Source organism: Homo sapiens, chromosome 15 (genome assembly GCF_000001405.40).
Source record: "Homo sapiens chromosome 15, GRCh38.p14 Primary Assembly".
NCBI classification, from domain to species: Eukaryota; Metazoa; Chordata; class Mammalia; order Primates; family Hominidae; genus Homo; species Homo sapiens.
The window spans coordinates 44,459,768-44,473,444 of record NC_000015.10 but is presented as its reverse complement, the minus strand read 5'-3'; the positions used below and the strand labels follow the sequence as shown (position 1 = coordinate 44,473,444).

At 38.7% G+C, this 13,677-nt stretch overlaps 1 protein-coding gene across 14 annotated transcripts in view; it reads right to left on the bottom strand.

Moving 5' to 3' along the window:
- CTDSPL2 (CTD small phosphatase like 2) overlaps positions 1–13,677 on the bottom strand; it is a 101,410-nt gene that overhangs the window by 55,594 nt on the left and 32,139 nt on the right. The window lies entirely within an intron of this gene.

Sequence of the window (13,677 nt, the reverse complement as noted above, 5' to 3'; positions counted from 1 at the left end):
GGGCGCCTGTAGTCCCAGCTACTAGGGAGGCTGAGGCAGGAGAATGGCGTGAACCCGGGAGGTGGAGCTTGCAGTGAGCTGAGATCGTGCCACTGCACTCCAGCCTGGGCGATAGAGCGAGATTACATCTCAAAAAAAAAGAAAATCTAGGGATAAATCTTTGTCACCCTGATTTTGCCAATAGTTTCTTGGATATACCAAAAGCACAAGCAACAAAATAAAAAATAAACAAAGTGGACTTCATCAAAATGTAAAAGTTCTGTGTTTCAGAAAGGGTCCACAGCATAGAAGAAAATATTTGCATATCTCTGAAAAGGGACTTGTATCTAGATTATATCAAGAACTCATGGCTGGGTGTGGTGGCTCACACCTGTAATCCCAGCACTTTGGGAGGCCAAGGTAGGATGATCTCTTAAGCCCAGGAGTTTGATATCAGCCTGGGCAACATAGTGAAACCCTGTCTCTACAAAAAATACAAAAATTAGGCCTGGCGCAGTGACTCAAGCCTGTAATCCCAGCACTTTGGAAGGCCAAGGCAGGCGGGTCACCTGAGGTCAGGAATTCAAAACCGGCCTGGGCCGGTGAAACCCTGTCTCCATTAAAAATAAAAAAAATTAGTTGGACTTGGTGGCATGTGCCTGTAATCCCAGGTACTCAGGGGGCTGAGGCAGGGGAATTGCTTGAACACAGGAGGTAGAAGTTGCAGTGAATGGAGACTGCGCCACTGCACTCCAGCGGGTGACAAAGTGAGACTCTGTCTCCAAAAAGTGGGGAAAGAAATTAGCTGGGCATAGTGGCACATGCCTGTAGTCTCAGCTCCTCAGGAGGCTGAGGTGAAGGATCACTTGAGCCCAGGAAGCAGAGGTTGCAATGAACCGAGATCATGCCAAAAAAAAAAAAACCACCTCTTACAATTCAATAATAAAAATAATACAATTAAAATACCAGACATTTCTCTAAAGAAAATGTAAATGGCCAAGAAGCACATAAAAAAGATGCTCCATACCATCAGTCATTAGGGAAATGCAAATCAAAACTACGACATACTGCTTCACACTCACTAGGATGGCTATAATAAAAAAGACAGACAATTACAAGTGTTGATTGTCCTCAAGACAACTGGAATCCTCATATTTTGCTAGTGGAACTGTAAAATGATGCAACCACTTTGGAAAACAGTCTGGCAGTTCCTTAAAAAGCTAAACACAAAGTTATCATATAACCCAGCAATTCAAGCTCTTACCCAAGACAACGGAAAACAGATGTCCATACAAAAATGTATACATGAATGTTCACAGCATTCTTCATATGGTCAAAATATGAAAACAATCCAAATGTTCATTAATTGATAAATGGATAATCAAAATGTGGTATATCCATACAACAGAATATTACTTGGCAATAAAAAGGAAATAGTGATATAATATATGCCACAACATGGATGTACTTTGTTTTTTCTCTTTTTTTTTTTTTAATTTTTATTCAATTCCCAGGACACAGCCCCAGGAGATCCTGAGAACAAATGCACCATGGATGCACTTTGAAAACATGCTAAGTGAAAGAAGCCAGACATAATAGACTATGGTTTCATTTACATGAAATGTCCAAAATATAGCAAAATCCATAGAGACAGGAAGCAGATTAGTGACTGCTTAGGGCTAGAGAGGAAGGGGAAATTTAGGAGCTAGAGGTTTCTTTTGAGGGTGATGAAAATATTCTAAAGTTGAGGCAATGGTTGCACAATTCTGTGCATGTACTAAAAGCTACTGAATTTATACTTTAAATGAATGAATGAACGATACTACTATACAACATAGTGCTGTGCCTATACTTAACTATACTATATTACATATTTAAAGTTTTCTAAGATAGTAGATCATAATAAAGGGGCAGGGTAAACTCTGGGAGGTGACAGATACGTTGATGGCCTTGATGATGGTGATGGTTTCACAGGAATATATTTATCCCCAAACTCATAGAGCTGTATACATTAAGTACAGCTTTTTATATCAAAAAATAATAAGTAAATAAAAGCTTCTACACTTCAAAAAAATGGGTGAATTTTCTGGTATATAAATTATATCTCAATAAAGCTGCTACAAAGAAGTTAAGCATACATCTTATGATCCAGCAATATCAATCTTATTTATCCAAATATTCCTAACAACTTTATTTATAATAGCCAAAAAACAGAAACAACTTAAATAGACAAATTGTGGTAGACTCACACACAGGAATACTACTCGGGGAGGGGAGGGGAAGGAATCAACTACAGATACATGTGGTAACGCGGAAGAAACCAAAAAATGTATGTTGTGTGTGTGAAGGAAGCAAGATAAACTGATTATAATCCTATGAAACTCTATAATGACAGAAAGATCAGTGGTTGTCTCAGGTGATGTTGGGTATAAAATAAGGATACTTTTTGGTCATGTGCATAAATCTGTCAGAATTCAAGAAAACAAACACTTTGAACAGGTGTATTTTATTGTGTTTAAGGTTTTTTTTTGAGAAGTCAATATAGGATATAGGAGGATAAATAAAATTCTAAAAAATAGCTAGTTCACTCAAATGACAGGAAAGGAAAAGAGAAACAAAAGATGGGACAAATCCAGAATACATAGTAAGATAGAAGACTTTAAACTCAAACATATTAATAATTACATTAAATATAAATAGACAAAATATGCCAATGTAGGCCAGGCGTGGTGGCTCACACCTGTAATCCCAGCACTTTAGGAGGCCAAGGTTGGTGTATCATCTGTGGTCAGGAGTTCAAGACCAGGCTGGCCAACATGGTAAAACACTGTCTCTACTAAAAATATAAAAATTAGCTGGGAGTGGTGGCAGGTGCCTGTAATCCCACTTACTCGGGAGGCTGAGGTAGGAGAACTGCTCGAATCCAGGAGGTGGAGGTTGCAGTGAGCCAAGATTGCGCAGCTGCACTCCAGCCAGGGTGACAGAGCGAGACTCTGTCTTTAAAATAAAAAAAAAAAGCCAATGTAAATATATACACACAGGTTTTATAAAGGCTGGAAAAACATATATCATGCAAATAGTAAGTAAGAAAACTGTATGGCTATATCAATATTAAAATAAACTTCAAAATAAATAATATCACTTGAGATAATGAGATACATCATAATATTAACAAGAACAAGTCATACGCTTATAAATACATGAAGCTTCAACATACATGAAGCAAATATTGACAGATAATGAAGTAGACAAATGCACAAAAATAAGTGATTTTAACATCCCTCTCTTAATAACCAATAAAACAAGTACATGAAAAAATAAGATAGCTGACTATGCAGTCGCCATTTTTTTTTTTTTTTTTTTTTTTTGAGACAGAGTCTCGCTCTGTCGCCCAGGCTGGAGTGCAGTGGCGTGATCTCGGCTCACTGCAAGCTCCGCCTCCCAGGTTCACGCCATTCTCCTGCCTCAGCCTCCCAAGTAGCTGGGACCACAGGTGCCTGCCACCACACCCGGCTAATTTTTTTGTATTTTCAGTAGAGACAGGGTTTCACTGTGTTAGCCAGGAAGGTCTCGATCTCCTGACCTTGTGATCCACCCACCTCGGCCTCCCAAAGTGCTGGGATTACAGGCGTGAGCCACCGCGCCCGGCCACCATTCTTTTGTTTCTTTACTTCTTTAATAAACTTGCTTTCACTTTAAAAGAAGATATAGAAAATTAGAATATTATCAACCATTTGGATATAATTGATATTTATAGAATACTGCACTGAACAACTCCGAAATATCACATATATTCCCAAATACATATAGAACATTCAACAAGATAGAATATGTGCTAGTAAGTACCAAAAAATACCAAAGAAATCAAATTATACAGAGTATATTAATATTCTTGAATCGAAATGAATAATCCATGGGTCAAAATAAATCACAAGAAAAATGAAGTAATAAAAAATAAGGTATCAAAATATATGGCATATAGAGAAAGGAATACTTTAAAATTCATACCTTTAAATACCTACATTAGAAAAAAAAATAGTGTAAAATTAATGTTCTAATCAAGGAAGTAGCAAGCTACAGCCATAGGCAAAATTCAGCACACTAATTGTTTCATATGGGCAAGAAAGTAAAAATATTTTTTGTACTTATAAATGGTTGGAGGTAAATACATCAAAAGAACAATAATATTTCATGGCACATGAAAACTATATGAAATTCAAATACAGTAGTTCCCCCTTATGCTCACGTGACACCTTTCAAAACCCTCCAGTGGTTGTCTGAAACCACAGACAGTGCCAAACACTACATATACTGTTTTTTCCTCCATATATATACACCTATGATAAACCTTGAATTATAAATTAGACACAGTAAGAGATTACCAATAAAATAGAACAATTATCAGCATCACTAGTCTTGTACTCTGGGGCCATTATTAAGTAAAATAAGGATTAATTGAATACAAACAGAGTGGTATCTACACAGCTGATATGATAAACAAGAAAGCTACTAAGTGACTAACAGGAGTACAGCATATACATATGGATACTCGGGCAAAGGGATGATTAATGTCCCAGTTGTGATGGAGCAGGATGATGTAAGATTTTATCATGCTACTCAGAAAGGTGACTAATTTAAAACTTACCAATTATTTCTGAAATTTCCCATTTAATATTTTCAGACCCTGGCAACCACAGGTAACTAAAACTATGGAACACAAAACCAAAGATAGGGGGGAACTACTGTACCCGTGTCCAAAGCCATGTTCATTCATTTATGTAGCCGTCTACAGTGGCAGTTGAATAGTAGCTGCAACAGAGACAATATTGTCCACAAAGCCTAAAATATTTCTTACCTGAAATATTTATAGAAAATGTTTACTGATATCTGATTTAAGCTCTCACTTCAAGAAGCTACAAAAGTAAAAGTAAATCAAACTGAAAACAGAAAATACTGAAAATAGTGGAAATCAATTAAACAGAATGAACAGTTAATATTAAAAATCCCTTTGAACGAATAATGAAATTGATAAACCCAAGCAAGACTCATCAAAATAAAGATCAATAAATTATCTAGATCAGGAATGAAAAGAGGAGCACCATTACAAATTCTATAGACAGTATTAAATTAATAAATACCAACAAAATATGATGTCAAATAAATCAACTTAAATTCCTTAAAAACATGTATGACTAAAACAAGAAAGAGAAAAGCTAAATAATCTCATCTATATTAGAGAAACTAAATTACAGTAAAAGATACCCCACAAAGAAAATTCCAGTTACATTTTAGAAATCCCACTCCAGAATTCAACAGTGAATTCTGCCAAATATTTAAGAATGAAATAACACCAATCGAACACAAGCTCTTTCAGAAGAGGAGGAACAGTCCTCAACTTGTTTTATGGCACCAGCTTAATCTTAATCCCAAAATTTAAAAACATTACAAATCAAGACAAAACTACAGAAGAAATCCTCCATGAATACAGATACAAAAATTCTTAAAAAAAAATCCCCAGCAAATCAACTCCAAGTTACGATTTCCATTCAAAAAAAAATTTATGTACTACTCTACATTAAAAGAATAAGAGGGGCCTGCCACAGTGGCTCATGCCTGTAATCCCAGCACTTCGGGAGGCCGAGGCGAGTAGATCACTTGAGGTCAGGAGTTCAAGACCAGCCTGGCCAACATGGTGAAACCCCATCTCTACTAAAAATACAAAGAATTAGCCAGGCATGGTGTCACGTGCCTGTAATCCCAGTTACTTGGGAGACTAAGGCAGGAGAATTGCTTGAACCCAGGAGGCAGAGGTTGTGGTGAGCTGAGATCGCACCACTGTACTCCAGCCTGGGCGAGAGAGTGAGACTCCGTCTCAAAAAAAATAAAATAAATAAATAAATAAGAAAAGAATAAGAGAAATCTGAAGCCAAAAAGCCTTTGAGAAAACTCAACAACAAAATAAAAACATTTTACAAACAGGAATAGAAAAGAACTTCCACCAACTAATAAAAGATAACTAAGAAAAACATCTAGCTAACATCATACCTAATGGTAAAACAAATTCTCTTCCCCTAAGGACAAGGCAAGGGTGTTGTTCTCACCACTGCTACTGAACATGGTAATACAGATCCTAACCAATGTAATAAGTGAAGAAAAAAATAAGTCCCAGTGATGACAAAGGGTAAGCAAAACTCTCATTATTTGGCATATGACATAATTATATATGCATAAAACAAGACAGAACCCTAGTTCCTTTAGTGGAGAACAGTATTTAGAAACCAAGATCTGGGTGCTATGTGCACACAGTTCAGCAGACAGAGCAAGGCAATAGAATCATGTGCCATACAATGTTTCAGTCAACAGCAGACCACATATAGAACAGTGGTCTCGTAAGATTATAATACTCTATTTTTACTGTTTCTTTTCTATGTTTAGCTATGCTGAGAAACATAAATACTTAACATTGTGTTACAACTGCCCATGATAATCAGTACAGTAACATTATGTTTTGTTTTGTTTTGTTTTTTGAGACGGAGTCGCGCTGTGTCACCCAGGCTGGAGTGCAGTGGTGCAATCTCAGCTCACTGCAAGCTCCATCTCCCAGGTTCACGCCATTCTCCTGCCTCAGCCTCCTGAGTAGCTGGGACTACAGGCGCCCGCCACCATGCCCAGCTAATTTTTTTTTTTTTGTATTTTTAGTAGAGACGGGGTTTCACTGTGGTCTCGATCTCCTGACCTCATGATCCGCCCGCCTCGGCCTCCCAAAGTGCTGGGATTATAGGCATGAGCCACCGCGCCCGGCCAATCAGTACAGTAACATTCTGTACAGGTTTGTAGCCTAGGAGCAAAAAGCTATACCACATAGCCTAGATAAGTAGTAGAATACACCATCTAGATTCACATAAGTACTATGATGTTCACATGATGACAAAATTGCCAATTAGTGCATTTCAGATTGTCAAGTGACACATGACTAAATATAAATACATGCTTGTGTGTGTGGTGGTGGGAAGAGAATGAATGAATATGAATGAATCTTAAACTGTCGTTTCCTCCATAAATTCCACCAGTTAGTCTGAGCTGATTTTTTTTCATTCCATAGTAAGTGGCAAATTACTTCAATTAATCAAGTAGTTAAAGAAACTTAATAAGGCCAGGTGTGGTGGCTCATGCCTGTAATCCCATTACGGGAGGCCAAGGCGGGTGAATCACTTGAGGTCAAGAGTTCTGGCCAGGCGCGGTGGCTCACGCCTGTAATCCCAGCACTTTGGGAGGCTGAGGCGGGTGGATCATCTGAGGTCAGGAGTTCGAGACCAGCGTGGCCAACATGGTGAAACCCCGTCTCTACTAAAAATATAAAAAAATTAGCCAGGCACGGTAGTGGGTGCCTGTAATCCCATCTACTCAGGAAGCTGAGGCAGGAGAATTGCTTGGACCAAGGAGATGGAGGTTGCAGTGAGCCAACATGGTCCCACTGCACTCCAGCCTGGGTGAGAGTGAGACTCCGTCTTTAAAAAAAAAAAAAGAGTTCAAGACCAGCCTGGCCAATATGGTGAAACCCTGTCTCTACTAAAAATACAAAAAATTAGCCAGGCATGGTGGCACATGCCTGTAATCCCAGTTACTCAGGAAGCTGAGGCAGGAGAATCGCTTAAAACCAGCAGATGGAGGTTGCAGTGAGCCCAGATTGTACCACTGCACTCCAGCCTGGGCGACAGAGCAAGACTCCATCCAAAAAAAAAAAAAAAAAAAAGAGGAGGAGGAAAATTCCCAAATAAAACTACAAAGTTTGGCAAATCAGAGTTAAAGATTTTGAACAAAAATGTTCATCTAATCATGTTTTTCAAACTAAGAAATTTAACCCATTAATGTATTATCAAATCAATTTAAATTAATACAATCACCTTTAGAAGAAGAAACAAAACAGAAAAATCAGAGCACATCACATAAATTAAGGGTGATTTTTGTTTCACATGAAAGTATTAGCCATGTGTTTCTTTTTGTAGACCACAGTTAAAAGGTCTAAAAACAGGTATTTCATTAAAACTGCATTCATATGGAAATTTATGATCCTTAACTGTAACATCATTTAGTTAAGAATAGAGGAAAAGGTCATTTTGTTATGAAGAAAACTCTGGAAATGCCATATTTGGAAAAATACAGAGATTCATGGTAGAAAACAAATATATTTTAGTTGTGAGGCCTTCAATTACATATTAGAAATCTCATTGTGCTAAAAAGCAGAAAGGCTGCACACGAACAATTCCTGAATAATCTTGCTGATAATTTCATAAATCTGAAGTCTTTGAATCACAAAATCTGTATTTGAGAGACCAAAGATTTCATTCACACTGAATAGTGTTACCCCAAAGTTTATGTTGAAGCCCTAACCTGAATACTTCAGAACGTGACCGTATTTGAAGATAGGGCCTTTAAAAAAGTAATTAAAAGGGTTTTCTTGGCCAGGTGTGGTGGCTCACGCCTGTAATCCCAGCACTTTGGGAGGCCGAGGCAGGCAGATCACTTAAGGTCAGGAGTTCAAGACCAGCCTGGGCAACATGGAGAAACCCCATCTCTATTAAAAATACAAAAAGTAGCCAGGTGTGGTGGCACACACCTGTAATTCCAGCTATCCAGGAGGCTGAGGCACGAGAAATCGCTTGAATCCAGGAGACAGGTTGCAATGAGCTGAGACAGCGCCACTGCATTCCAGCCTGGGCGACAGAGAGAGACTCTGTCTCACATACACGCACAAAAAAAGGAGGATTTCTTCAGGTGGCCCCTAAAGAAGTATGACCAGTGTCTGTAAAGATGCAGACACAGACCATACACAGACCGAAGACTGACCATGTGAGGGGTGTGAGGGGCAGCCATCTATAAGTCAAGAACAGAGATCTAAGAAGGAAGCATGTTGGCCAGCATCTTGTTCTTGGACTTCTAGACAGCGTCCAGCCACTTTGACAGACAATAATAAAGGAGAAATAATACAGGTATCAGTTAAATACATATGAGTTTAAATCCTAGCAGCACCACTTATTGGAGATGCAGTAGTATACAGTGGTTAGGAGTGTAGGCTCTGGAGCCAGGTAAACTAGGCTCCAGCTTTGCCACTTAAAACTAAGTAACTTTGCGCAAGTTATTATTTAACCTCCCTGTGCCTCAGCTTCCTCATTTGTAATATAAAAGTAACACCTATCTCATATGGTTTGTAAGGCTTAAATTATTACACTTTAAACACTGAGGACAGTGCTTGGCAAATAGTAACTGCTTACTAACCATAAGTAAGAGCTGTTGCGGGCGTAGTGGTACATGCCTGTAGTCCCAGCTACTCGGGAAGCTGAGACAGGAGAATCGCTTGAACCCAGGAGGTGGAGGTTGCAGTGAGCAGAGATCATGCCATTGCACTCCAGCCTGGGCAACAAGAGTGAAACTGCATCTCAAAAGAAAAAAAGTAAAAGCTGTCGTATTGGTCTTCACTGTTATTTTTTAACCTGGGTAGGTTATTATTATAATTATTGTTGTTATTGTTACTATTGACACTGCAAGTTACCTAAATTCATTAAGTCTGTTGTTCTCACCTATAAAACATCAAAAGATGGTTAATATTCAATAGGTTTTAGCTGTGAACTCCTACCCAAATTTTGAAAAAGACAATGACACTGTATTTAAGATACATACGTAAGCAAGCATTGTCTAGACACTCAACGCAATTTTAGAATATGTGATTAAGAATATGGTTTATGACATTGTAGATAAGAAAGCAACAATAATTAAAAGCCATATAAGCTCATTAAGACTAATATGTGACAAATTAACCACATTATTTACTCCTAACACAGGATTAGTTGTCTGGGAAAATACAATTGTGATTTCACTCCGATTTTAGTAAAGCATTCAAATATTAATTTCAATAATAATCTTATAGAATATGATTTTTAAAATCTGAGTTCAGTTACAGCACAATAAAGTGAATTTGTAGCTGTATGAAAAACCTTACCCAAAAATGTTAATTAATAAATAAGACAGCCCGGCACAGTGGCTCATGTCTGTAATCCCAGCACTCTGGGAGGCTGAGGTGGGCAGATCACTTGAGGTCAGGAGTTCAAGACCTGCCTGGCCAACATGGCAAAACCCCGTCTCTACTAAAAATACAAAAATCAGCCAGGTATGGTGGCAGGCGCCTGTAGTCCCAGCTACTCGGGAGGCTGAGGCAGGAGAATCACTTGAACCCAAGAGGCGGAGGTTGCAGTGAGCTGACATCGTGCCACTGCATTCCAACCTGGGCGACAGAGCAAGATTTCGTCTCAATCAATCAATCAATCAACATTAGCTTACAAACAGATTTTTGCCCGATCTTATGTAACATCTTTGAGTAATGAGGCATTAATGAAAGATCTTAGATTTAGCTAAAACAAAAAAAGAAACTTGGACAAAAATTTCTACAGAAAAATCCTCCTGAGTGGCTGGGCACGATGGCTCACGCCTGTAATCCCAACACTTTGGGAGGCTGAGGTGGGCAGATTACTTGAGGCCAGGAGTTCAAGACCAGCCTGGGCAACATGGTGAAACCCCATCTCTACAAAAACACAAAAATTAGCTGGGCATGGTGGCACACACCTATAGTTCCAGCTACTTGGGATGCTGAGGAAAAGGATCGCTTGAACCCAAGAGGCAGAGGTTGCAGTGAGCTGAGATTGTGCCACTGCACTCCACCCTGGGCAACAGACCAAGACTCCGTCTCAAAAAAAAAAAAAAAAAAAAAAAAGTCCTGAGTGTTCTAGTTCAAGAGTCCCCAGCCTCTGGGCCATGGAACGGTACCAGTCCATGGCCTGTTAGGAATGAGGCCACAGAGAAGGAGGTGAGCGGTGAGCCAGCAAGCATTACTGCCTAAGCCCTATCTCCTGTCAGATCAATAGTAGCAAATTCTCATAGGAGCACGAACTCTAGTGTGAATTGTGCATATAAAGGGATCTACACTGTGTGCTCCTTATGAGAATCTGATGCCTGATGATCTGAGGTGGATCAATTTCATCCCCAAACCATTAACTAAACCCCACCCTGGCTGACCTGGTCCCTGGAAAAATTGTCTTCCCTGAAATCAGCTGCTAGTGCCAAAACGGTTGGGGACTGCTGTTCCAGTTGACATGAGCCAAAATTTGCTGACCAACAGAGATTAAGCTACTAAAGAAGGACAAAAAGTATAATTTAACACAAAACCACATTAACAGAAACAATTCAGCCAGGCTCAGTGGCTCACACTTTGAGAGGTCCAGGCAGGCAAACAGCTTGAGACCAGGAGTTTGTGACCAGCCTGAGCAACACGGTGAAGCCTTGCCTCTATTAAAAAATTCAAGTAATTAGCCAGACATAGTGGCAAAAGCCTGTAGTCCCAGCTACTTGGGACGCTGAAGTGGGAGCATCACCTGAGCTGGGAAGTCAAGGCTGCAGTGAGCTGTGACTGCACAACTGCACTCTAGCCTGGGCAATGGGAATGAAAGAAACAATTCACTGTCAAAAGAAGTACGCTGATCCTTGAACAACCTGGGTTTGAACTGTATTGGTCCATTAATACACAAATTTTCTGCTACCTCTGTGACAGAAAGACCAACCCCTCCTCTTCCTCAGCCTAGAAGATAATGAGGATAAGACCTTTATGATGCTCTACTTCCATTTAAATAGTAAACATATTTTCTCTTCCTTATGATTTTCTTAATAACATTTTCTTTTTTTCTAGCTTACTTTATTGTAAGAATACAATATAAAGCCAGGTGTGTAATACCAACACTTTGACAGGCCAAGGTGGGATGACTGCTTGTGGTCAGGAGTTCAAGACCAGCCTGGGCGATATAAATGAGACCTCATCTCTTTAAAAAAAAAAAAAAAAAAAAAAAAGGGAGAGAAACTTTAAAAATAGCTGGGCATGGTGGTACATGCCTGTAGTCCTAGCTATTCAGGAAGCTGAGATGGGAGGATCAACTCAGCTCAGGAGTTCAAGGCTGCAGTGAGCTATGATAGTATCACTGCACTCCAGCCTGGGCAATAGAGTAAGATCCTGTCTAAAAAAAAATTAGAATACAGTATAGAATACACATAACATACAAAATATGTGTTGAATGATTGTTTATGTTATTGGTAAAGCTCTGGTCAACAGGAGGTTATTAGTGTTAAGTTTTTGGAGAGTCAAAAGTTGTATGTGGATTTTCAACCACATGGGAGAGTCAGCATCCCTAAACTCCACATTGTTCAAGGGTCAACTATAAATATGAATAGAATTCTGAAGACATAACAAAAACCTATCTTCACTTCTGGTTTTTATCTTTCATGAATAACAGATAAAGGTGACCAAGATAATGATAAATATCATATGTCATATAAGGAAAACTAGAAATAGCTGCCCTGTATAATGACTGAAGGTTTGTACTTGCACATGTAAGGAAACACAGATCTGTTTTCAAGTGGAAAAAACTACAAAAAAGTAACATGAGAAAGCAAAAGATGAGGACGCACTTTATGACAACTAAAGCTGCTCAGAAGAATGAAGTAATAATACGTAGCAAGGTTCCCATCAACAGAGGCTGATGACAACCCATTAGGAATTTATAGAGATGGAAATTCAGGTTTCTGGAAGATATTTCATCTTTGTTATATGATAACATTAGAATATTTTCTCAGTTTACATAAATTCAGAAACTTTTTAAAATTTCTAATTACTGAAAATTAACAAAGAAATTATAGTATTAGAAACAAACAAAAACAAAAAATAAAACCACCAAAACAAAAATTAAAACCCTATGCAAACCAAGAATACTTCCAAATCTTGCCCAGTGACTTACAGTAATTAGGCTTTGTTAATTCTATTACAACAAAATCTATCCCTATGAACAAGTCAGCCAGTAATTTATTTTTCTGCTTAAGAAAGTAATACACTTCCATTATAATGAAAAATTTACCATATAAATAATTATTCTAAGAACACAAAAATAGTAAAGTCATAAAAAAACTACACACAATCAATAATACTATACATTGATAGAGTGCATTAAAGGTGATCAAACTGAGGCCGGGCGCGGTGGCTCATGCCTATAATCCCAGCACTTTGGGAGGCCGAGGCGGACGAATCACAAGGTCAGGAGATCAAGACCATCCAGGCCAACATAGTGAAAACCCGTCTCTACTAAAAATACAAAAATTAGCTGGTGTGGTGGCGGGCGCCTGTAGTCCCAGCTACTCGGGAGGCTGAGGCAGGAGAATCACTTGAACTCGGGAGGCAGAGGTTGCAGTGAGCGGAGAATGCGCCACTGCACTCCAGCCTGGAGACAGAGCAAGACTCTGTTTCAAAAATAAATAAATAAAATAAAATAAAATTCATCCAACTGCTTTTCTACCTGTTGTACCATCTAATCTGAAAACAACTCTGAGATAGACGAAGCAGTTGGTATCAGTGCCATTTACTATCTTCCTGAGGCTTGGGGGGTAAATGACTCTCTCCTTAGGTCACTCAAGTTGGTCCAGAATATGAATCTGGAGTACAAGACTCCTGGTCCGTGTCCATTCTTTCTTTATGTTCTTTTCTCTTTAACGAAGCAATACATCTTCATCATACAAATGTTAGAACTTGAATAGATGAGAGACATCACCTCCCTAGACAGTGAATATTAACAAGAAACTTTTTCTTTGAAAGAAAATGAAAGTAAAAGA